Consider the following 26,891-nt stretch of genomic DNA (forward strand, 5'->3'; position numbering starts at 1 on the left):
TCTTTAAAAATCTGGTAGACATCTGTAGGTAAATAAAAACTGATTTTGAATGTGTAATGTCTAGATACTGAAAACTCTGCATTTACATAAAATTTAGACACTTTAGTTCATTATGCAGTCATTTTAAGGAAAAAAATAAACCCTAAGAGAATAAACTGCTATGAGAATAGAGAATAGAATGTTCTCCATGAGATAGAAAACAGGTATCTGTGTCTGTGCTGAGGAACTCCTGAATGATTCTGTGGTTCTGCAAGTGGTTTTTCAGATAATTAGACTTGTCAGTGATGTCCATGTTCTGCAGTTTGTCTAACATTGTTCCTGTTTCACAGAACTTGAAACTCATACAGCTCACGGCCAGGGAAATTTCATGGCCTTCACAAGTCACATGCAAATCAATCTTTTCTGTAAATCTTGTCTACTTGGGAAAACAAGGGCTGCCTTTGTCTTTCTTTCTAGAAATTCTCTTAAGTATCATAAAAACAAGAAAATATCCATGAAAAAATTGTCAAATTAAGAGCGGATCTTGGATTGTTACAAATTTTAACACATATGTCTTAAATAGCTTCTAATTTATCTGTATGCAAATGTGTTGTTATTATTAGCTCACCTGAATAAACAACTAGCACATTCCTTATCTCTTTACCTAGTTGCTTTAAATAATTATGGCTTGATTCTGAAGTCATCATTCTTTCCCAAAATGGTGTTTGTGAAGGAAGAACTCATGTTTATAGGGAAATAATGAAATCCATATCCAACTTGATTTCTAAATTCCATATTATATCATTATCTTTTCATTGCCATATTAAAGAAACAAAAAACCGGCTTTCCAAAAGTTCATAGCATTCAGCTTCTTTGTTTCTTTTATGGCAAGAAAAAAATTCTTAGCTACTAACAAAAAAAAAGTTCTTCCCCAGTATTTTTCTTGTTGTATCCAGTAATCTTCCTGTGAGACAAAGGTCTTCAACACTCCAGGACAAGAGCAAACACAGAAATGAAACAATTTTAAGAAATCACTTAAATTTTAAAGTCGATTGTATGAAACCTAGAACAGGAAAAAAATTGAAATACAAAACAGTTTGGATTTTCAAGAGGCAGATCTTAGAGAAAAAATACATTTTTTATTACCAAAAGACATGCTTTCAAATAATAATGAAAACTTCAAACTACCCTGTAGGTAGAATTTATATCATAAACCAGGACTAGGAAAAATGTATGATATCTAAAATAGACAAAGTCAATCCAGTTTGAGGAAATAAAAAACTTTAAAAAGATGAGCAATAGAATTAATTTTTGAGAATCCCTAAGAAGGTACCTTGCTTCCCATCTCAGCCACAGGCAGAGCCCTTAAGGTATTACCAATAGGAACCCTGGACCAGGTCAATGGGAACCCAGAGCAGAACAACACTTCCCAGTGTGTGTTCTGGGAAGCGCCTTGGGAAGAGCTGACCCCGTAGAGAAGTTCCACTTCCAGCATAGCACCAAAGTACCTGATTACAAATGAGGCACAGTCCATCTAAGTAAAGAGAAGACCTGTATTAACCCTCCCATTCCCTGGGGACTTAAAAACAGTTTGAAGAAAGTCTTGAGAAGTTTCATATCCCAAAATAATTATGTTGAGTTTGACATTGAGATGGAGCACCCACGGAGATTTCTGATGGTAGGAAAGAGGGCAGTATTTAATGGTGAGCATGGCAAGACTGGGATCATCATCTAATTATCAGCTTGGGATCATCATTTGAGTATCAGCTAAGGAGTGTAAATGCCAACAACATAAGGCCAACCACCTAATCCTACCTTTCAGCGAAAGCCTACCTAAGAAAGTACTGATAATTGTGAACTAAAAATGTCTTCCCCAGATACTAAACAATATATAATCCTATGAAAGGGAAAGAGGAGGACACTGAACTGACTGAATTTGACTGAATTTATAATGAAATTTTTGAACACTCACAAATTTAACTGTGTTTATCTTATAAAAATTATATATTATATAAATATGTATTATATAATTTATCATTAGATTAAACTTTCTGTTATTGACTCAATAAGGACTTGAAGTCAAAATTTGAAGTTATTTCTGAAAATGAAGAACATTATATTTTGCACAACAGAATAAGTTGCTTATGAGCATATATCCACCATAATGTCATCTATCGACTAACTCTGGTTCCTTGAAGACTTTAGCATGGACTACTATCTTCCTGGCAATTAAAAGTTCTGCCATCTCCTAGGTGATTTCAACACCATTGAAGATGATATATTCAATAGCATAGCTTATCAGTTGTTTGACTTCCAGTAAGTGCTTGATCAGCACTTCCTGATCAAGCACTTACTGTCCAAATGGGTACCTGGAAAACAGCAGGATAGCTCATCTCTGAAATATTATATTGAAACATTATATTGGTCATCACAACTCCTCATCCTTCAGCTTGCACATATCACATTATCAAATTTCTTCTTCTCTGTCAACCCTTTCCAGGATTCATTTTTTATAATATTCACCTTAGACTCTGTAGTTAAATCATGTAATCAACTCTCCTCCTCATAACCTTAAATGAGGTTCTGTGGTCTTGCAATGATTCATTCTAAAAATCCCAATGAATTCCATTGAAAAATCCCAATTTGAATCCCATGTTTCAAATGGTGAATTTCTCTTGCACCTACACATGCAGGCACCGAGCACTGTTGGAGAAAATTTTAAACTACATAGATTAGCCATATTATAAATGTTTTTTCTTCAGCATAAATTGAGTCCTCAGTTCTTCTCATTTGTATTTCTCTGTTTCCCAGATAAGCTATTTTCCCAATCCCCTACAATGTATTTTCAACCTACTCTACTTTTATCACATCTCTGATCTTTCTACTTATTTCATTTTAGTCGATAGACTTTCCTTCTACTTACTAGAGAAAATATAATCTACCAGTGAAAAATTACATCAATTTACTCACCAAACCTATTCACTTACCTTAATACGTATGTATTATTTCCCCCAACCTCCATCCCCCTCCTGTTACAATTATACAGAACTCCTTATTTTAAGGTAAATCCTGTCATGCATACTATGGCTCTGTGTCCTCTCTTTTTAATTTATATTTCTACTGGATTCTTCCCATCAACGTTTAAATATGTTGCAGTGTTTCTTTACAATGATAAATAGATGATAGAGAGATAGTTGGATAGGTAGGTAGTTATATTGGTAGATAGATAGATAGATAGATAGATAGATAGATAGATAGATATCCTGCCTCCAACTCAAGTTTCCTTACAAATACCACCCTAACATATTGAATGAAATATGTATGGACTCTTTCTCCACTTAATTACCCCATTTGTTCCTCAACTCACTAAATCTGTCAACCACCTTCATACTTACCAACACTTCTTTATACTATGGTCTTGGCAAAGTTTTCTACAGCTTATCTTTGCTAAATTATTGAATTGCTTTTAATTGTTATCTTAGATGACCTCATTATGTGAGAACATTTGAAATTTTTAACAATTTCTTCTTATCAGAAACATCTACTCCTATACATTATCCCCTCCTAATTTAATTCCTATTTTAATGTTCTCCTAGTTACACATTGGTCATCCCTTGATATTTGCTGAGTTCATTTCTAGAGATCATTTCTTCTTAATCTCCCAAGGTAATCTCATATATTCTCTTGATTTCCTTTCCTATGCACATACTGATAATTCCAAAATAATATATCTATCCAAGATTTCTCTACTGAACTCATGATTTAGAAACCCAACTTCCTATCGGGAATTTTTTTCAATATCTCATTGGAATCTCAACTTTAATATATTCAAAAAGTTTTATTTCCAAAGATGTCCCTCCTACCTCACTGAATAACATCATTACCTAATTCATTTCACAAGTCAGAAATCTAGATGTCATGTTTTACCATACCCTCCTCCTAACCTAACCCTAAGTTTCTCCAGGTCTGAATTTATGGATTATGGTGAAAATTTTAGACTGCACTCTAAGAATTATAGGAAACAATTGTGAGAAGACAAAGTGTTCATCAATATCTATCTTTTTATTTTTCTTCCTGATCACACAGCTAAGCCATATTCCTCAGCTCCCATGCAGTTATGTGGGGCATATAACTAACTTACCAGGTGAAAATTATAAGCACCATTAACAGGCCTGGCCACTTAAACACCTTGTGTACGTCCCTCCACTCCTTGATATCTCTCTTTTCATCCATCTGCCAGCCAGATCCAGGAGACCCAGTGGAAGACTCGGAGTCTCTGTAGGGTAGTGGAGCCACAACAAAGAAGGAAACTGGGATTCTGAAACACCACAGTAAATAATGCCCACTGAATTATGATGCACTAAGAAATAAACTATTGTTGTGTTAAACTATCGAAGGTTTCTTTTTTTCACCTAAAGCAAGCAGTTTATCCATTGAAAGTTTCTGAACATAGTAATAACACAATATGATTTCAAAGATTGCTGAGGTTTCTGTGTTGAGACAAGGACTAGAGGGCAATGAGTGAATGTTGATGAAGGGAGACCAGTTAAATTTTTATTGCAAAAATCTGGGTAAAGAAAAATGGCTACTTTGACACTGTATTACTTGTGGCAGTGGTGAGAAGTGGTCAGATTCTGAATATATTTTGAAAGAAAAGACCACAGAATTTGCTGATGAATTAAATACAGAAGTGTAGGATGTACTTTGCCCACTTTTTTATGGGGGTTTTGTTGTTTTTTTTCTATAAATTTGTTTAAGTTCCTTACAGATGCTGGATATTATACCTTTGTCAGATGCATAGTTTGCAAAACTTTTCTCCCATTCTGTAGGTTGTCTTTTTACTCTGTTCATAGTTTCTTTTGCTGTGCAGAAGCGCTTTAGTTTAAAGAGATCCCATTTTGTCAATTTTTGCTTTTGTTGCAGTTGCTTTTGGTGTTTTCATGATGAAAACTTTGCCCATGCCTATGTCCTGAGTGGTATTGCCTAGGTTGTCTTCTAGGGTTTATATAGTTTTGAGTTTTACATTTAATCTATCTTGAGTTATTTTTTGTATATTATATAAGGAAGGGGTCCAGTTTCAATCTTCCACATATGGCTAGCCTGTTAGCCCAGTACGATTTACTGAATAGGGAATCCTTTCTCCATTGCTTGTTTTTGTCAGGTTTGTCGAAGATCACAGAGTGTGTGGTTTTGCTTCTGAATTCTCTATTTTGTTCCATTGGTCTATGTGTCTGTTTTTGTACCAGTACCATGCTATTTTGGTTACTGTAGCTCTATAGTATAGTTTGAAGTCATGTTCATTGTAGCACTATTCACAATAGCAAAATATGGAATCAACCTAAATGCCCATCAGTGATAGATTGGATAAAGGAAATTTGGTACATATACACCATGGAATACTATGCAGCCATAAAAAAGAACAAGATCATATCATTTGCAGAAACATGGGTGGAGCTGGATACCATTATCCTTAGCAAACTAATACAGGAACAGAAAACCAGATACTACATGTTCTAATTTATAAGTGGGAACCAAAACATGAGAACACATGGACACATAGGGGGAACAAAACACACTGGGGCTTTTTGGAGAGTGGAAGGTGGAAGGAGGGGGGAGGATCAGGAAAAATAACTAATGGGTACTAGGCTTAATACCTGGGTGATGAAATAATCTGTACAACAAACCCCCATGACACAAGTTTACTTATTTAACAAGCCTGCACTTATACCTTGAACTTAAATAAAAATTTAAAAAAAAAGTGTAGGATTTGTGACAAGAGGGGAATCAATAAAAATTCTAAAATTCTTGAGCTCCCATTTACTGAGCTGAGGACAAAAGGTTGATTTGACAAGACTTGAGAATAGATGACAAATTTATGGATCAAAATGCCATCTGGACTTAATCTTCTCTTTTTGTCTGCCTTCCACCTTGACAGCCCATTCTCACTTCCAAGTAGAACCCCAGGCAAATTCTGTTTCAACGTCTTAGGTTAAATTCTACATAAAATTGTTGCTGTCTTTTGCTAATACTCCCAACAAAAATATCATCTCTGATCCTAAATTGAATAATGTGTCCAAACCTGAAACAACATCCTCCACCCCCAACCCAGTGCAAACACCACTGGGAGTGAGATGGGAATGCGTTGTGGGGCTTGGGCTTCTGTCAACTTGGGCACAGAATTAGAGTCATTCCTCTGCAAACCCCATGGACCGAGATCTGAGAAGTGTTACTGTATTATGTATATATCTAAAGAAGGTTAATGAATATAGGGAAACCAACAACAATGACAACAAAAATATATAAAACCTCTTTATTTCAATAATCTACCATAGGGATTGTGTAACATGGTATATAGCTAAATCATTTCTTTATTCAACAAATACTTTTGTTAGGTATTGGGATATGTTCTGATAATAAATGATAAGTAAAAATAGACATGTTCTGTATTTTCGTAGAGTTGAATAATTCTATGAAGAAGAGAGATTTGAACCAACAACTCACTAAGCAAAGTATAATTATAAACTTTGTAGGTACTATAAAGAAGCAAGCATATTCTAGGATAGAATATCAAAGCACAGCGACCCAGACTGGGGCATCAGAGGATCCTCTAAGAAATTTGTAAAGATCATTCTGACTTCTGTGTGGAGAATGAACTGAAAGAGGGGGCAGAGTCTATATGTGTAGACAAATTAAGAGGCCAAGTTAGCAGTCTAAGTAGAGGTCAATAGTTGATTTAGCATAATGTTAGCACAATATGAAGAGAAGGGGACACATGTAATGGATATTTATGAGAAATACCATATCGTATATGGGTGGATACAGGTAACAAGAGAGGGAGAAAGGTCAAGGGTTACTCCTAGGTTTCCAGCTTATGCAATTGAGTGGATAGAGATGTCATTCCCTGAGAGAGAGAACACAAGCAAAAAACCCCAGAAAATTATAGCAGGAAAGAGCAATAATTTTTGTTGGATGAATAATTCAGTAGAATATATAACACGGGCCCTAACTAAAATCATTTATAACTTCATTGGGTATAGTCTCAAAGATTCTCTGGGCTGAAAATTAAAATTTATTTCCCACTTCTCGCTCTTTGTCTCTCTGAAGGGCAAATTGCCCTGCAGAGATAGAATCAGAAACATGTGTCTTAAATGTCAAAATAAATGTCAAAAGAAAATAACTGGCATAATTGGTTAATTGCTAGTTGTCATGCAACTGAAGGAAGGAAATGCAATTAGAAGAGGGTGATTTTTCCAGACTTCTCATATCTATCATACTTTTCCTTTTACTGTTCAAGAGACGTATGTGAAGTATAATTTTTCACTGACTGGCTTAATTATATGTTTAAAATTCTCATGTTTTTTGATGTGTTCATTTATTTCTATCTATCCTGAAGTTCTACAGACATGTATCTTTGTTCTTCACTTTATGCTGTATTCAGCACTAGGTTATTCCTTCCTGAATACAACTGAGAGGTAAATTACACTATAATATCCTCTAAACATAAAGTTACCAAAGTATTTCCCCCTTGAAATGTCAGTCTATAATGTAGCTGCAAGATCAGTTCTAAATCTTCTTGTATTTTGGACATATCATGCTCTGAATACATGTCAGAAAACTACAGAAGTTTGGGATTCATTGAATTCACTACTTCCACAGAGTGGAAGTCCAATGAGATAGAGGTGTCCAGTGGGATACTACTAAAATAAATGCCTCCTTCAGTGCTTTTATCCTGGCTAGATTGTCTTCAAATTAGGGAGGGAGTCAACTCAATAATTGGTTTGTGAGCTGAACTATCTAATTTATGCACCTCATACCCCTGCATTACTGAATAATATTTAGTGTGTTCCAGACTCTGTCTATGGTTTCAGAAAGACAAGAAAAAGCCAGGTACAATCATTATATTTAACTTTTATTTTACTTTCATGGGTACATATGCAGGTTTGTTATACAAGTAAACTCATGTCACAGGGTTTTTTTGTGCAGATTATTTTGTCACCCGGGTACTAAGCCTAGTACCCAATAATTGTTTTTTCTGTTCTTCTCCCTCCTCCCACCTTCCACTCGCAATTAGCCCTGGTGTCTATTTTTCCCCTCTTTGTTTCTGTGTGTTCTCATAATTTAGCTCCCACTTATAAATGAAAACATGCCGTATTTGGTTTTCTGTTCCTGTGTTAGTTGCTAAGAATGATGGCCTCCAGCTCCATCCATGTACCTGCAAAAGGCATGATCTCATTATTTTTTATGGCTGTGAAGTATTCCATAGTGTATATGTACCACATTTCCTTTATTCAATCTTTCATTGATGGACATTTAGGTTGATTCCATGTCTCTGCTATTGTGAATAGTGTTGCAATGAACAAACACATACATGTGTCCTTGTGGTAGAATGATTTATATTCCTTTGGGTATATAACCTGTAATGGGATTGGGCAGGAAAATTTTAAAAAGTTCTGTTTTTAGCTCTTTGAGGAATTGCCACATCGCTTTCCACAACGATTGAACTAATTTACACTACCGCCAATGGATTATAAGCATTCACTTTTCTTCTTAACCTTGCCAGCATCTGTTATTTTTTGACTCTTAATAATAGTCATTCTGACTGGTGTGAGATAGTATCTCATTGCGGTTTTGATTTTCCCTAATGATCAGTAATATTGAGCTGTTTTCCATTTGCTTGTTGACCACATGTATGTCTTCTTTTGAAAAGGGTCTGTTTATATCTTTTGCCCACTTTTTAATGGGGTTGTTTGTTTTTTCTTGTATATTTGTTTAAGTTCCCTATAAATGCTGGATAGTAAACCTTAGTCAGATGCATAGTTTGCAAATATTTTTGCTCACTCTATAGGTTGTCTATTCACTCTGTTGGTAGTTTCTTTTGCTGTGCAAATTCTCTTAAGTTTAATTGGATCCTATTTGTTAATTTTTGCTTTTTTTGTGATTGCTTTTGGCATCTTCATCATGAAATTGTTGCCAGTTCCTATTTCCAGAAGTCTGTTGCCTAGGTTGTCTTTCAGAGTTTTTATAGTTTTGGGTTTTACATTTAAGTCTTCAATCCATCTTGAGTTTATTTTGTATGTGGTGTAAAGAAGGGGTACAGTTTCAGTCTTCTGCCTATGGCTAGACAAGTATCCCAGCACCATTCATTGAATGAGTTCTTTCCCCAGTGCTTGTTTCTGTCAGCTTTGTTGAAGATCAGATGATTGTAGGTGTGTGGACTTATTTCTGGGCTCTCTATTCTGTTTCATTGGTATGTGTATCTGTTTTTGTATCAGTACCATGCTCTTTTGGTTACTGTAGCCCTGTAGTATAGTTTAAAGTCATGTAGTGTGATGCCTCCAGCCTTATTCTTTTTGCTTAGGATTGCCTTGGCTATTTGGACTCTTTTTGGTTTCATATAAATTTTTAAAAAGTTTTTTTTTCTAGTTCTGTGAAGAATATCACTGGTGGTTTGATAGGAATAGCATTGAATCTGTAAATTGCTTTAGGCAGTATTGCCATTTTAGTGATATTGATTCTTTCTATTCATGAGCATGAATTGTTTTTTCATTTGTTTATGTAATCTCTGATTTCTTTGAGCAGTGGTTTGTAGTTCTCCTTGTAGAGCTCTTTCACCTCCCTGATTAGCTGCATTCGTAGGTATATTCTTTTTGTGGCAATTGTGAATGTCTCTTGGCTGTGGTTGGTGTATAAAAATGCTAATGATTTTCGTATGTTGATTTTCTATCCTGAAACTTTGCTGAAGTTGTTTATCAGCTGAAGGAGCTTTGGGGTTGAGATCACGAAGTTTTCCAGATATAGAATCATGTTGTCTCCAAACAGGGATAGTTTGGCTTCCTTCCTTCCCCTTTGGATGCCCTCATTTCTTTTTCTTAACTGATTGCTCTGGCTAGGATTCCCAATATTATGCTAAATAGGTGTACTAAGAGAGGGCATCCTTGTCTTGTCCTGATTTTAAGTGGGAATTCTTCCAGCTTTTGCCCATTCAGTTTGATATTGGTTGTGGTTTTTTCATTGATGGCTCATTATTTTAAGGTATAATCCTTCAATGCTAGTTTACCAAGAGTTTTTAACAAGAGGGCTGTCGAATTTCACTGAAAGTCTTTTCTAAGTCTCTTGAGATTATCATGTGTTTCTTGTTTTTAGTTTTAGTATGTGAGGGATCACATTTATTGATTTGTGTATGTTGAACTAACCTTGCATCCCAGGGATAAAGCCTATTTGATCATGGTGGAGTAGCTTTTTGACATGCTGCTGAATTTGGTTTGCAAGAATTTTGGTTGAAATTTTTTGCATCGATGTTCATCAAGGATATTGGCTTGAAATTTTCTTGTGTTGTGTCACTGCCAGGTTTTGGTATCAGGATGATGATGGCCTCATAGAATGAGTTAGGGAGGAGTCCCTCCTCCTCAGTTTTTTTTGCAATAGTTTCAGTAGGAAAGGTACCAGCTTTTCTTTGTACATCTGGTAGAATTTGGCTGTGAATCCATCTGACCCTGGGTTTTGTTGTTGTTGTTTTTGGTAGGCTATTTATTACTGATTAAATTTCAGAGCTAATTATTGCTCTATTCAGGTAATCAATTTTTTTCTGTTCAATCTTGGGAAGGGGTATGTGTCCATGAGTTTATATATCTCTTCTAGGTTTTCTAGTTTGTGTGCATAGAGGTGTTCACAGTAATCTCTGATAGTTGTATTTCTGTGAAGGCAGTGGTAACAAACTCTTTGTTGTTTCTTATTGTGTTTGTTTGCCTCTTCCCTGTTTTCTTTTTTATTAATCTAACTAGTGACCTATCTTATTAATTAAAAAAAAACATACTCCTGAACTCATTAATCATTTTAATGATTTTTTTTCTTTGTTTCTCAATCTCCTTCAGTTCCGCTCTGATTTTGGTTATTTTTGTTCTCTGCTAGTTTTGGGGTTGATTTTCTTTTGCTTCTCTAGTTTTTGCAGTTGCAATGTTAGGTTGTTGATTTGAGATATTTCTAACTTTTTGATATGTGTATATAGTGCTATAAATTTCCCTCTTAACACTGATTTAGCTGTGACCCAGAGATTCTGGTATGTTTTATCTTTGTTCTCATTAGTTTCAAAGGCCTTCTTAATTTCTACCTTAATTCCATTATTTACCCAAAAGTCAATCAGGAGCACATTGTTTAATTTCCATGTAATTGCATGGTTTTGAGCAATTTCTTTTAGTATTGATTTCTGTTTTTATCGCTCTGTGGTGTTTGGTACAATTACAGTTCTTTTGCATTTGCTGAGGATTGTTTTACTTTCAATGTGTGGTTGATTTTAGAGTAGGTGCCATGTGGTGATCAGAAGAATGCATATTCTATTGTTTTAGGTGGAGAGCTCTGGAGAGGTCTATCAGATCCATTTGGTTCAATGTTGGGTTCAGGTCCTGAATATTTTTGTTAATTTTCTGCCTCAGTGAGATCTACTACTGTCAGTGGAGTATTGATGTCTCCCACTATTATTGTGTGGGAGTCTAAGTCTCTTTGTAGAGCTCTAAGAACTTGCTTAATGAATCTAGGTGCTCCTGTGTTGGGTGCATATATATTTAGGAGAGTTAGTTTCTTGTTGAATTGAACCCTTTACCATTATGTAATGCCCTTCTTTCTCTGTTTTGATCTTTGTTTGTTTAAAGTCTGATTTATCTTAAATTACAACTGCAATCTCTGCATTTTTTCTAATTTCCATTTGCTTGGTAGATTATTCTTTATTTCTTTATTTTGAGCTTATGTGTGTCATTGCATGTGAGATGGGTCTCTTGAAGACAGCATACCGTTGGGTCTTGCGTTTTTATGCAGCCTGTCATTCTGTGCCTTTTAGATGGGGCATTTAGCCCATTCACATTCAAGGTTAGTATTGATATGTATGGATTTGGTTTTGTCATTGTTTTATTAACTGGTTACTATGCCAGCTTGTTTGTGTGAATGCTTCATAGTGTCAGTGTTCTGTGTATTTAAGTATGTTTCTGTATTGGCTGGTAATGGTCTTTCCATATTTAGTGCTCTTTGCAAGATCACTTGTAAGGCAGGTCTGGTAGTAATAAACTGCCTCAGCATTTGCTGATCTGAAAAAGATCTTAGTTCTCCTTTGTTGAGGAAGCTTAGTTTGACTGGCTACGAAATTCTACCCTGTACAATTTTCATATATATACAGAGATTAATAATATATATGTGTGCCTTAGTAAAAATGTTATTAAAGTATAAAGTAAAATCCTATTTGTATTTTTAAACTGTCAAATTTAAGTATTTTGATTTAGCTATCTATTACTTTGTAGCCAACTTTCTCAACACTTAGGGCCTTAAAACAATAAACATTTATTATTTAACAATTTCCGTGGGTCAGGAATCTGGACAAGGCTTAGCTGAATGCCTTTGGCTCAAGGTCTCTCATGAGATACATTCAATTTGTTAGTCAGGCTGCAGTCATCTCAAAACTTTGCTAGGGCTAAAGGATACACTTCCAATCTCACTCACACAATTGTTGGCAGCCCTCAGTCCTTTGCTCCTTTGGCCTCTTCACACATATGGCAAATCCTCACTACATGGCAGCTGGCCTTTCCTAGAATGAGGGATCAGAGATAGAGTGAGAGTGAGGTGGGGAGAGAGAGAAAGAGACAGAAAGGGAGAGACCAGGAAAATTCATGGTCTCTTTATGAACCAAACTCAGAAGCAGTATACTATCACTTCTACCCTGTACAATTTATTAGAAGTGAGTCAACAGGTTCAGCACATACTCAAGGAGGAGGAGTTTATGCAAGAGTACAATTACTAGGGAATAGGAATCATTTCCCCTCCCTGCTTAGAATTTGCCTACAACCTACATATTTTTACATGTCTGTGTTAACAGGATAGATATGTATCTCGATAATGCAAGAAAATTTTGAAATTATCTTCAGGGGCAAACTTTTTGTTGTTATTGGTTTGATTTTTAGAGGCAGACAAGTGTATTTTAAAGTAGATTCTGAAAAATATAATAGATAATCAAGTTATGTAACATGATTTTATCCCAAATAAGGGTGTGGCTGTAAAGTAGGAATACACTCCCTTGTTGAGTCATCTATAAGTTTTCATTCATCAGGGCAGCCACAAGGTAATTTAAGTGCACACATTTTCATAATTAGGCTGTTCTTTTATGTTAGTAGGATTATAGTTGATTGAGGAATATAAGACTAGGAAGAGATTCCAATGCTGAAACAAGTGGTACTCCCTCTCTTGGTTGTTTCACTAAGTACATTACCTGCCTCCTTCCCCACCCCACAACTGTCCAGCTGTTGAAATTGTTTCTTCATCCAAGGCCAGCCAAAGCCTTTCTTTTTATCCTTGTTGGAAAATTCTCTTGGGCTTTTAACTGGAATTAAAACATTACTGCAAAGTCATCTGTCTCAAATCTCTGCTATGGTACAAAATACCTTTATGTTAACTGAATTGGTTACATGAGGAATTATTTAAATTATTGCTAAAAGTCCTCAATACAGCCTGTTCTAAAATTTCTCAAGATAAGTAGATGAAACATTTCATTGAAACGTTTATTTTTCTGAACTCTAAGTTATGTTATATAATAAAGATAAAATGATATACCTACTATAAAGTTGGGCAAATTGATAAATTATTAGTTATACAACTGAAACCTACAGGAAGGGCCACATATTGTCTCACAATAACCATATGAGAAACTATGGTTCCCTTGACTAGAACATAAGCTTCTGAGAATGAAGTAACAGAGAGAGGCAGAGGAAAGGAATCCCTACGCTCATAACTTTTCAGCTCACAAGCTTTTCCCCTACAGGAATGTACTTCTATAAACCCTCTTTTTTTTGGTTCTGAATCAAGCGTGGACAAGAAAGTCCCAATTGTATGCTAAAAAAGTAATGGAACCAGCATGATCCAGCCATGCAAATAATTTTATAAATAGGGCCTAGAAACAGCATTAACTAAACAGGACTGTATGCCAGAAACAGTTTCCCATTTCAAGAATTAACCCACAGGGTACTCAGTAATCAGTTAACCCTCTTCAAGGAAAACCACATTCTTATCCACTCAAAGTTTCAGAAATCAGTTACTGTACTTTGTGAAGTGCCCGAGTTAAAGTCAGGGTAGGCAAAGTCCTTAAGCAAAAGCAGTTATATTTTCTTTCCCACCCCTTGCCATGTCAAAGAAAAAAAAATTACATGTTATTGCATCTAATATTACATGTTAAAGCCTTGTAAAGATTAGAGTTTTTATTTTTTTATTATGAGAGACCAGGCCACAAATTATCATAGATTCATAGCGGGACTCATTTATTTTACTCTAATATTTTCTAGCTAATGGAGCATGGAGGACTCACACAGATATTCTTTCCAAAGCAATAAATCTCAAATTATTTTCTCTGAGCTATCATCTTAAATGTTTGATTTATACCAAAAGGAAACAAATCCTACTGCATGGGTAGCAGCCAGTTTAGAAAGCTGCACCAGTTAAATTTTTCAAAATTTTTGGACACATCATCTGCCAAAACTGCATGGAACATCCCTTAACCAGACATGGGAGGAGAGTACCAAAAGACATCGCAACTGAGTCTCTTTTACAACATTATACATAGAAGCCAGGAAACACTCACAATCTTTTATTTTTTTTTTTCAAAAGTTTGGGCTCCTGCACATCATGTTCTTAAACAGACTAGGTTGTAAAACTCATGAGTTTCCATTGACCTTTGCCCGGCCTTCTTAACTTTGAAGAGCATTGTATCTTGTGTTTGAAAAGAAGCATAAGTGGGTTTCCAGTAGAGATATTCCAGATTCTAATTACCTTCTAAGTCCACCACATACAAGAAGGTGGACAATATTTAGCATTGAGAAGCCCTTTAATTTATGAATCACTTGCAAAGAGTGCATCACAAATCACAAAATATTCATTGGTTGTAACAAGTAATTTTCATTCTACTCAACATTGAAGATACTTTTGATTATCTTAGAGGGCAAAAATAAATGACTCTATTTTATTGACATATTAAAAATTAATAATACTAAGCATAGCTGAAGTTACCAAGTGTGTACTATGTACCAGGGTTTACATTTACCTCATTTAATCCTCTCAGTAATTCTATAGGATTGGAACGGATATTATCACCCTCATTTCAAAGATAAGAATCCTGGATGCAGAGAAGCTAAGTAATTTATCCAAGCCTACTCAGCTAATAAGTGACAAGAAACGGTACAAAGGAGGCTTTTTCACATCAGAGTCTGTGTTCTGTACTCTACACATTAAGACATAAATACTTCAGAGGGAAAGAAGCCAGTTTGTGCTTTGTTGGTGGTGGTGGTGATTTGTTTATAGCACAGAATCATAAAAAGGAAACATATATAACATTATAAATTCTAAGCACAACTGGAGAGAACATTATCTATAAAATATTTTCCTTATCTACCAATGTTCAATGCCACAATCAAAACACGTAAAATACCTGTTAATTTTACTAAACTTTCTAGGAATATGAACAGATGAATGCTTTTCCTAGCATAATAGATCACATATTGTTAGTAAATAAATCAGGACCGGCATTTCTTATACAATATACACTAAATGCAACAGACTTTTTTTTTTATTTTTTGATTTTTAAGTTGTTTTATGTTTTTTATGTTTCTTGGTTGCCCAATACCTTTTGAATGCCCTGACTATGCTTGGGGAATTTTCCTCCATGAAGTAGAGCCCAGAGAATTCACTTCTATGGCACACTGTCACTGTTAAAAATATAAGTACATGACTTGGATTGTACAAATTAAACTCACCTATGAGACACTTTCATTTAGATGTGAGTGACTTGAGCAAGAAGGCATTTCGGGCTAAAATGGATGTTTGAGTTCTGGCTTTGGAGATGGAATCACTGCTGACAGCATGGCTGTTGTGAGAAAGCTGAGTTTCTGGCAAATGCCAACTTTGTTCTTGTAGCAGGTGTTCCCTGATCCAGCAGGATCTGTGACAGGGTTAACAGAATTGTCCCTAAAATATAGCCTTCCGGCTAGTTCTTAACACTCTCAAAACTTCTGTAAATTACCCAATAACCTTTTAAAAGCTTTTCTTCTTTATCAGCCAGAGTCAGCTTCTATTGCTTATGTTTAAGAACTGTAAGTTAGGGGCTCTGGTTCTGGGTAAAATAAAGTAAACACATCACATCCCATCCCATCTCTCTCACTTTACGTAACTATAAAACCTAGGCAGATTGAATGTACTGGACTATGAGGAGTCTGAAAAGGAAATAGCAATATGTGGATAAAGAAAAGATACCAGAATTCTAATCACCACTAAGCCTGTGGTGAGTTTACATTTTTTTCCTTTAATATCCTTGACCTGAACTCAAGGCAGCCAAAAACCCGGAAGTGAACATTGTGTTAAAGAGCGAGCTTTAAGAGAAGCCTGGCTCAGGGAACAGGGAAGGAAACTGCCAGATCTCAGAGAAAGTAGAGGAAATCAGCCAAGTGGTTATTTTTCTTTCATTTTTCCTGTATTCGCTCATGACTTATCCCCCAGGCAATTCACTGGTACCACAGCAGCAGCACCAGTAGTGGCCAGCAACAGGAATCAGTAGGGTATACAACTCCAGGGAGGGAAACCTTCCTTTCCACTTGGTAGAGCTGTGTCTTCAAAAGGGTGAGGACTAACCCATTTCTTTTTTCCTCTTCTCCCTGTCCTCCTACCACATGGCCTCAGACTTCGCACAGTAATAGAAGTGGACAATTTCTGGCCAAAGTACCAACAACTAGAGCCTGTGGAAACCAGAAAGTTCCAAGAAAACAGTAGAGAAGGAGGAATTAAAAAAAAAAAAAAAGAAATGTTTTATTAATTCCTGGAGTCACTGTCAACCTGAACATGCCTGGATCTATCATTAGTAGCATACAAAAGTTTCGCCAACTGAATAAATGGATCAATTTCCTTCCAGGTCCCACATGGAACAGTGAATGATGTACACATGAAACAAATTTGAATAACACTGCAACAACTTTGGCAATTAAACTGACTTTGGAAACAGCTTACAAAAGCTGGGTTGATACATGTAGTCTGAGCCAAACCAGTCAATTGCCTGCTGAACTAAAAAACATCAACTTTCTCCATGAGATTTAAACAAGACTCAGCCCCACAATATTCAAAATGCCCAGTATGTAATCCAAAATTACTTGGATTATGAAGAAAAAAATAATCTAAAATTACATGGTAAAATACAATCAATAGACACCAATAACAAGATAACACAGATGAAAAAGGCTTTAAAATACCTATTATAAGAATGTTCAAAAAAGCCATCACGAAGTCTTGAAACAAATATTAAGCTACAAAGTATCAGCAAATAAATAAAAGAGGCAAAGAAGAATCAAATGGAAGTTTTTGAAATGAAAAATTCAATAACCCAAATTAAAGGCTCACTGGATAGATTAAAAAGCAGAATGAAAACGACAGAGGAAAGAGCCAAAACACTTGAAGGTAGATCAATAGAAATTGTCTAATCTTAAAAGGTAGAAGAAAGATTTTTAAAAAATGAACAGAGCCTCAAGGAAATGTGGAGCAACAGCAAATATTTAACAATGATGTTGTTGAAGTCCCGGGAGAGAACAGACTCTAGAGGTTTAAAAATGTGAAAAAGTAACAGCTAAAAATGTTCTAAATTTGGTGGAAAACATATGACCACAGATTTAGGAAGTTAAATTACAAATAGAATCAATCCTAAGAAATTCACATTCAGATTCATCATAATGACAATACTGAAGACTATATACAAAGAAAAATTCTTGAAAATGGTCACACACTCAAAAAGACACATGACCCTATAGGAGCAGAAATATGTGAATGACTATGGAGTTCTTATTATAAGCCATGGAGGTCAGACAGGTGTCACAAAATATTTTTCTTCAGCCTGGAAAGAGAACTGTCATTCCAGAATTCTATCTCCAAAAAAAATATCCTTCCATAATGAAAGAGAAATAAAGATATTCTCAGATGAAGGAAAACTAAGATAATTCAATGCCAGCAGGCCTGCTATTTAATAAAGAATTGTTAAAAAAAAGTACTTCAGACAAAACAGAAATTATACCAGAAGAAAATACCATGAATAAACAAGTAACAACAAAATGGTAAACATCTGAGTTATGTTACATTTTTATTCCATTTGAGGTCTATTAAATATATTCGATGCTTGAAAGCAAAGAACATAACATTGTTAGGATTGTCAATATATGTAGATGTAATGAATAAGATACCTACATCATAAAGGGGGAATGTAAAGGAATTTATATAGTTATGTTTCCATATTCCTACTGAAGTGGTAAAATACAAATTCTTAATAGACTGTTAATAGTTTAGTATGGATTTATAATCCTTGGGCAACCACTATAAAACATTGTAAAAAGATACATTATGAAAATTACAAATGGAAGGCAGAAAAGGGGAAACATATAAAAAAAGTAGGAACCAACAGAAAGTAAATAATAAAATCACTTGCTAATAAACAAATAATTGCATTGTATATAATTGCAACATCAATAATTGCATTATATGTAAATAATCTAAACAAACAAATTGCAACAGAGATTATGAGTGAATACAAAGCATGACCCAACCAAACTCACTTCAAATATAATGATAAGGACAGATTAAAAGTAAAGGAAATCAAAGAAAGCTATAGTAGCTATATTAATACCAGGCAATATAGGCCTTAGAGAAAAGAAAATTACCAGGAATAAAAAGGAAAATTACGCAATGATAAAAGGGTCCATTTTAAATGTGTATTCACTTCTAATAAGTGAAATTCGAAGAATGATCCTTGACCTTTTGCCTTTGTATAATCTGCCTTCCTTTGAGTATGGGCTGAAGCAGTGAATAGGATGAAATACCACTCCCATGAATATGTTACGTTTCTTGGTAAAAGGAATGTTTCAATTGTGTTGAGTTTAAAGCTGAAAGTTTTCTCTGACTGGTGGGATTAGTTGGAGAGATTTGAAGCATGAAAAGGACTTTATATGCCATTGCTCTTTGGGACCCAATAGAATCCACCTGGACGTCTGACTTACAGAAACGTGAGGTAATAAATGGAAGTCATTTAAAGCCATTGAGGTTGTGATAATTTTTTACTCTGAAAAAATAAAAAACTATTACAACCTCTAACAAGACTTTTTACATGAAGCGAAACTAACAGAACTGAAAGGACAATATGAAATTTTAGTTGGAGACTTCAACACTCCTCACTCCTCTCCTAGTAGTAGGTACAACTGGTAGAAAACCAGCAAAGACATATAAAAACTTAAACTTGAGATTTTTCATTTATTCATATTTAAATGTTGGAGGTTCTATCAGCTTGATCCATTGAGAAAGAACTACGTGGAGTTAGGTACCTGGGAAACCAACAATGGACATGCAGCATGGATGAAAATTCAACTTTTATTGTATAAGCTGCTGAAATTTGGGGATTCTTTTTTTTACAGCAGCCGTATCTTCTTCTTCTGGTTGATATAGTCCATTATTAGGGTATTGCTTAAATAATTACAAAACATAGTGTAATGAAACATATTATGAATATTACACAATATAATTTTTAGATACATTGTTGGTTGAAAAAGATATAATACAAAAGAAAGTGAAGAATATGCTAGCCTACAGGGTATGTGTTTTTAGTGGATATGTATTTGTGTGTTCATATGCTCCTGATTAGCCCAGAAGGGTGCATAAACTAATAATATTGATTACCTCTGGGAAGAGGAACAGGGAACCAGGGGACAGAGGAAGATTTTCAGTGTCTATCCTTTTGTACCTTTTAAATTTTAATTCTTGAGAATGCATTATTTTTTCAAATATCAATAACTGATCTTAATTTTTTAATCTGTATAGTTTCAATTATATTTAAAAATACATTTACAGAAAAGACAGCCAAAAGAAATAAACTAATCTACTTTATTACCCTTTAAAATTACTGATTGCTTAAAATGTTGTCTGCAAATTTTATGTCATCTGTATCTTCTAGAATAAATAAAAATTAATTTTGTGAATTTAAGTTTTATAAAATGAAAATTTATTTATTAAGCTCAAATTCTCTTAGTTTAAAGAATACACTTTTAATCTCTTTTTATGACATCAAATCCTTCACCGTTTATAGCTATATCTAACCTGCTTTCCTAACCTATACTATTTTCCTTTAAAATAATCAAATATAATATAATCAAATTGAACAGCATTCTCTTTCCTTGAAGACAGGAAGAATCCTGTTTGTTTCCAGTTCGAGGGTATGTAATAACACAGAAAGAGCAACAAAAGCAAATTGGAATACTTTGCAAATCACTTTCACCTAACTGGCTTGTTACTGAACATTAGCCTTGAACATAAGAAGTACTATTCAAACATGCATATACCACACTAAAACTACTATTATATGTAATTGCAAAATACTATAATAATATATAGAATCTACTCTTGATAAGAGACTATATTCCACTTGAGTTTTCCATTGTGTGTTATTAGTAATCAGCACTTCTGCATGTGTGAAGTAAAATGGTTGATTTAGCTATAAAAACTGATCACAAGTTAAGTGCATGTTACGCATTCACATGGAAAACCTTTAGGCACACTAATATTGGAATTTTTTCTTAAGTATGTCAGGACTAAGATTTCTAATTTTCCCATTTGACAGTCATTATTAACAACTCAGTTTATATACTGGATACTCCTTATAGCTCTTTCTAAGGAGAAATAAAAAGAAGTCCCTTAGCAGAGGCCTTCAGCTGATACCTATGCAACCTTCCTATGGAATCAGTGTCCAAATATAAACCATTTCTCATAACAGCAAGATTTTAAACCTAATTTGAAAACTCAGAGATTTCCAACTCTGTAGGTGAGGTGTGTCTCCTCATAGCTCCTGTATAAATATGCAAGGAGGCAGGAAACTGGTTTCTCTCTTAGTGGAGAATCCAGCTATACTTAGCCTATTGGTATTGTCTAGAAGCAAAGTAAGCACAGTGTAAAAAGCCATGTGCACTTATCAGCCTCGGCTTGCAAGCGTTACTGAGCCTGTACTATGTATTTTATATGGTGATCATGCTCTCCCTGTGTCCAATGATTACCAATATTACAAAAAAATGAAATAAAGACCCAAACTATTTACATAAAGATAACTGATGCAACATGACATAAAATAAAATGTAAAAACAAGTTGGGAATAAAGTTTTAAACCTACACAAGGGCGAACGAACATGCTTTGGAGAAAATAGCAAACACCGTTAACAGAATTAAACAAGCAAATAAAAACAAGATGGGATTAAAAGCAGTCACGTTAAAATATTGCTAAGATTAATAATTTGCTGCAAATTAGATACAAATAATGCATAATAGCAAACTATTTTGGTAGTGATGCCCCTTAAGGGATGATGATAATAATAAAAATAATATAATTGCAACACTAGTATTAATACTTTTCCTGCTCATTGTGTGTCAGATACTTTACAAAGTATTTCAAATATATTATCATATTTAATATGATGTTAAATGGTCCATTTTGTTTTGACCCTAATGTTATGGTCAGTTTTGTTGTTTACTATTTTATAGATTGAGAGACTTAGGCTTAAGAACATTCAGAACTTTCAAAGACATCAGAGAGATTTAAAAAATGCCAGAAGTAAACTAAAACTTGTTATCTTAACTATTGTACTATACAAAATTGTGTTGATATCAATGAATGCAAATGGAATAAGATGGATAATTGGTAGGCTGAGAGTAAAGAAGGACAAAAGGGATTGCTTCCAAAGTAGTAGCATGTCGTAATGTTTCTAGTTGAAAATGATGTTGATACATGTTACCATTATCAAATTATTCTCTAGATGCCATTATCTTTTTATATTCCTGACTCCCACAGGACTTCAGGGAATCAATAGAATATGGTGTCAAGTTATATAAAGGAAAAGTAAGTTAGTTTTATGACTCATTCTGGCCTTTATTTACAAAAGAGATACCTAATTTAAAGTAGAATAAATGATTTGCTGAGCATGGGATTCAAGGTTATATGTGATATGATCATGCCTGTGGATAGCCATGGGCAACAAAGCAAGAATCCGTGTCTTAAAAAAAAAAAGAAAAAAAAATTTGAAAAATGTTCAATTTAATTTAGGTCATTGGTAATGAGAACAACTAACTTTAAAATATGCAATGCAAAAGCACTAAATTGTGAAAAGCAATTAAAGATCACAAGCAATCAGTAAATTTACCTTTCCTCCATGTTATTATCATAACTACCTACAAGGTTATGCAAATGAGCTAGATAACCATACTTTTGCTGAAATTTCTGTCTTTATGAGTCTACGCTTCCTAATTTGGGGCTCTACAAATGAGGGACAATGATAATGTTACTATAGGATTGCATCCAACAAAGTTAGCAAGGGTAATAGGACCTGTGAGGAAAAATTCAGGGCTTAGGGCTTTTAGAGGAACTGAAAAACAAAACGTTAAAGACAGACTTATTGTAAGAGCATGATGTCCAACAGCTGTTCTCTTTTTCCAGCAAACCAAAAGGAAGAGGAGACAGGCTTCAATTAAGGCAAGAGAAATTTAAATTAGACATCTGCTGAGTTGGCATAATGATCCCATGTTCTTTTGGAAGTGGAAAGAAATGAAGAAATCTATGAGTTTAATGTTTGAAAATATTATTTAAACAATTTCATAAAAGACAAAAATCCAGTCATACTGATACATGCTGGAAGAAGGAAAGAAAAACATTTACTTGTGCCTAAGAAGTATTTTGTTGCATCATCCAATAACATTGTAAATAAATATTTTTGATCAAAGGAATTAAATCAAAAGTTCCATGTAAACATGGGCATAAGGTAGAATGCAATCACTGGAAGTTGCACAGGATGTGCTGAAAATCCTATTCACCAGAAGTTTCGATAGTAAATTTTATCTTTGTATACAGGCAAAAGAAAAAATACTAGAGAACACACACATATTTTATCCAATCTATTCTTATCTTTTCTGAGTGGTGTTTCACCTAATTGGCTTGTTACTGAACATTAGCCTTGAACATAAGAAGTACTATTCAAACATGCATATACCACACTAAAATTACTATTATATGTATTATATTAACACTGCCAGTAACAATAAAATGTTTTCCATTTTTGGAATAAATTATGTCTTCTCAGGTGTCAGTGGCCATATTCAAACTGACTGAAATGTCAATGATTGATTCTTTTCTAAAGGATGTAATGCCTAGATATCTTACTGTGATTATTGGAATTCTAGGTTCCAGGTTCCTAAGGCATTTGAGAGACCAACAATGTAAAATAACAAGTAATAAGTGAATTTAGTCTGGAAACACTTATGGTGATGATCACTGCTTCTCTCTTCTGTCATGCGCTACTCTTTGAAACCCTTAAAATTCCTTCAATCCATGTAACCTTAATGACATCACTCTTTGTGTGTGTGTGCTTATTTTTATTCCATCTGAATGCAAAATAAAATGTGAATGTTTGATGTTATTGTTCATTTTAATACTGTAACTTTAATTACATCGTTCTTTGTGTTTGTGTGTGTGTGCTAATTCTTATTATAACACAAAATAAAATAGGAATGTTTTTTATTACTCATTTTAGAATTGTTAGTAATACAATCATTTCCCATTTACATATCAAAGCTCTGAGCTGCAATGCTTGAAATCAAGAATTGGATGCTTATCTGGCCACCTACAGCCAATTTTGCCTGAAGATTGGCCTTATGTGTTTGATTATTTCCAAATAGTTAAGGCATATGCTTTTTGAGAAAGCACACTACATATTTTTAGAATTTCATCACTCAAGGCCACAGCTGGTTAATACCAAACACCACTCATTTTCAAACTTTTAATAACCATTAAAGTAAAATCCTGCACATCACAGAACAAACACTCTTATGCTTAATGTACAAATATAAAAACAAACAAAGATAAACAAAAAAAACAAGGGGCTGTATGTCTCAGCTACCATAAACTACTGACACTAGAGACAAGTATAGCAAATTTTCCTTCATTTCTCTTCCTCCCTCTACCATCTTATGAGAAATGGCATACCAAAACAGGTCAATATTCAGACCAACGTCTTCCAAAATTTTAACACTATATTGCCTTATAAAAACCTGTGGATGCTAAGTTCATTAAATGGCCTTGCATTGAGGAAGTAATGACAGCAACAGTATGGCCTAAATTTTTCCCTTTTCCTCACCCCTTCTCCATGGCCCTTTACCAAGCATTCCTCCCACTTATTACACATTTGCCTACACTTAATAATGGCAGTGGAGGGACAGCATAGCATCCCATGCTGAGCATATTTTTTACAGTATCTGAAATCTCCAAAGTTGTAATAATCTTCATACACTTTCTTTCAAGAATGCTTGAAACAAACACTGCAATAAAACTCTTCAATTTGCAAATCTTTTGATTGTCCACAGTTTCCATAAAAGAACCCATGTAATAGCTTGGTTTTAAGAATAAAAAGAGTGTCTTAATAAATGCAGTGTAGAAACAGTTCAAACTGTCTATCTTGACTGAAGTTAAGTTCATAAGAGATGGTTCCCGCATGCGGGGAAAAATACTTTACTTGCTTTTGCATTTGCTTGGCACTTGGGGCCTATTTATTACTTCGTATACTTGGATGCAACAGCAACTAGCACATAGTTATAGTTGTGGAAAGGGGTGCTATTGTGGTAGATATACTCTGAGTGTTAGCAAATGTCACATAATTGTTATTTCTAGGCTTTTTCAAGCCCAGATAACAGGACAGTTTAAAAATATGACTTTACAAAATACTTCCGGCTGGGCACAGTGGCTCACGCTTGTAATCCTAGCACTTTGGGAGGCCAAGGCAGGAGGATCACTTGAGCTCAGGAATTTGAGACCAGCTTGGGCAATATGGTGAGACTCCGACTCTACAAAACAATTAGCCAGGCATGACGCTGCACACCTGTGGTCCCACTACTCGGGAAGCTGAGGTGGGAAGACTGCTTGAGCCCAGGAGTTCGAGGCTGCAGTGAGCCTTGGTGACAGAGCGAGACCCTATCTCAAAACAAAACAGAAACAACCCCCCCGACACATACACAAAATATTTCCTACATAATAATCTTTAAAGCCTGAGACAAATTGTGAGGAGAAATTTACTTCATTACAATTTACACTTTTAACATCCAAGTTTGTTTTTCTTATGATGTTAAAAACTGCTTTATACATATGGGTTAGTATTTTGGAACAAATTTCTTTTTAAGATTCCTTGGTTTGGGGATTGCACTAAAGTAATTCTTCAGTTACAGTCTGTGTGTCTTTAATTTGTCAGAGAATATTATAATTCCTACATTAGGGTGATACCTGTTATCAAATGACTACACAGGGAGGTGCTTATTTTGCTAAATAACTTAATCCAGTCTACTTGTGGCTCAATTTTACAGTTCATTAAGAGTGTGAAATAAAACACAACCTATAAGTGATAATATCACAGTAACCTTTGCTTCAAAAGCCATTCTTATTTATTTCACCTAATTTTCACATTTATCCAATAAAGTAACTATGGAAGACATTGTATTTTATGCATCTTGGCTGCCTCAATGTCTATCTGTAACGTGTAAGAACTTACTATTAGTGTCTGACAATAATGGATGAGGTTGATGTTGATTACCTAACCCCAGGCATTCAGTGAGACTGTGTCATTGTACAAACTAGATTCATGAACATACTCTAGCCTCCAGACTCTTCTCATAATACCATGCTGAAATTAACTATGAGATTGTTAATAGTCAGGAAGCTACCATGTATGAAAAATTATTAACCACTCTAGGTCAGGGTGTTGGCTCTTATGGCTGGCATTTTGAGAACCAGAGCTATGGGTGAGGTCATATTAAGTAGGAATAAAAATGCTTGGCACTTCCAATATCTGGAAAGATCATTCAGGTCTATCTTTGCCTTTCTCCTCCAAATCCTTTATCAGAGATACAGCTACACAGATTTTCTAGTTTACTAAGGGCAGGGAAAGATCATTAGCACAAACTTTAGTTTCCATGAACATTATTTAAATAAAATATAATCAAGAAATAAAATGAAATACAGGGAATGAATAAACAATAAGCTACTAGTAAGCCTGCTTTATGGTCTTAAGGGGGCCAACCTATGTGTAATGACTGGAAGTGATGTAATAGTAAAATTGCACCTAAGCTGTCAAGTACAATGCCTACGAAGTCTGATAAGCTCACTGATATTGAGCAAGAAAAAAGAGGAACCATCGAGAGAAGGGGACTGTTTTTCTTTGTGATGTCACTGCATTAGCTCAGCAGTTAGTTAAAAACAAAAACAAACAAACAAAAAAACTAGTTTTACATTATTCAGAAAAACAATAATCCCACTGACTTTCCAGTTTGTTACTATCATTTGGCATAGACCAAGGAAAGAAACAAGGTTGTAAGAGAATTTTAACAGAATTATCTTTTTTAACCAGTTAGAAAACAAATGGAAGTGAGAGGTGGAGGAGTAAGGAGAAATGAAAGGGCACAGACAGATTCCCGACATATAAGCATTATTAAATATTATTGGTATTTTGTTGAGTATACTTACTCTTGTTAACATTAACTTGGTCAGTGCTTGTCTATGAATCAGACTCACTGGACTCATGTCCATGGTGTACTCTAGAGCAGTAACTTATCATATTGTAATGGGCCTGCGATTATGTGGGAATGTTTTTAACATGCAAGCTCTGATTTAGGAGGTCTGGGCTGCTAGGAGACGCAGCAGATCCACGGACCACACGCTGAGTAGCACTGCTCCAGGCAATCCATATTAGCTAAACTGAAGGTCTTCATAACAGCTTTCTTCCTGTCCCACAACGGATTGTTATGAAGAGGTTAATATTTTCCCTAATTGTGTTTCTAATTCTCAAATAATAAGA

At 34.8% G+C, this 26,891-nt stretch overlaps 1 protein-coding gene across 1 annotated transcript in view; it reads right to left on the minus strand.

The window, feature by feature from the left end:
- Positions 1 to 26,581, minus strand: part of HMGCLL1 (3-hydroxy-3-methylglutaryl-CoA lyase like 1) — a 244,547-nt gene extending 217,966 nt beyond the window's left edge. The window contains exon 1 of the mRNA XM_047418902.1: positions 26,561 to 26,581. Within this exon, the coding sequence (XP_047274858.1) occupies positions 26,561 to 26,572 (12 nt within the window). The 5' untranslated portion in view covers positions 26,573 to 26,581. The remainder of the gene's footprint in view (positions 1 to 26,560) is intronic.
- Between the last annotated feature and the right edge of the window lie 310 nt (positions 26,582 to 26,891).

The sequence above is a fragment of the Homo sapiens genome, chromosome 6, assembly GCF_000001405.40.
Source record: "Homo sapiens chromosome 6, GRCh38.p14 Primary Assembly".
NCBI classification, from domain to species: Eukaryota; Metazoa; Chordata; class Mammalia; order Primates; family Hominidae; genus Homo; species Homo sapiens.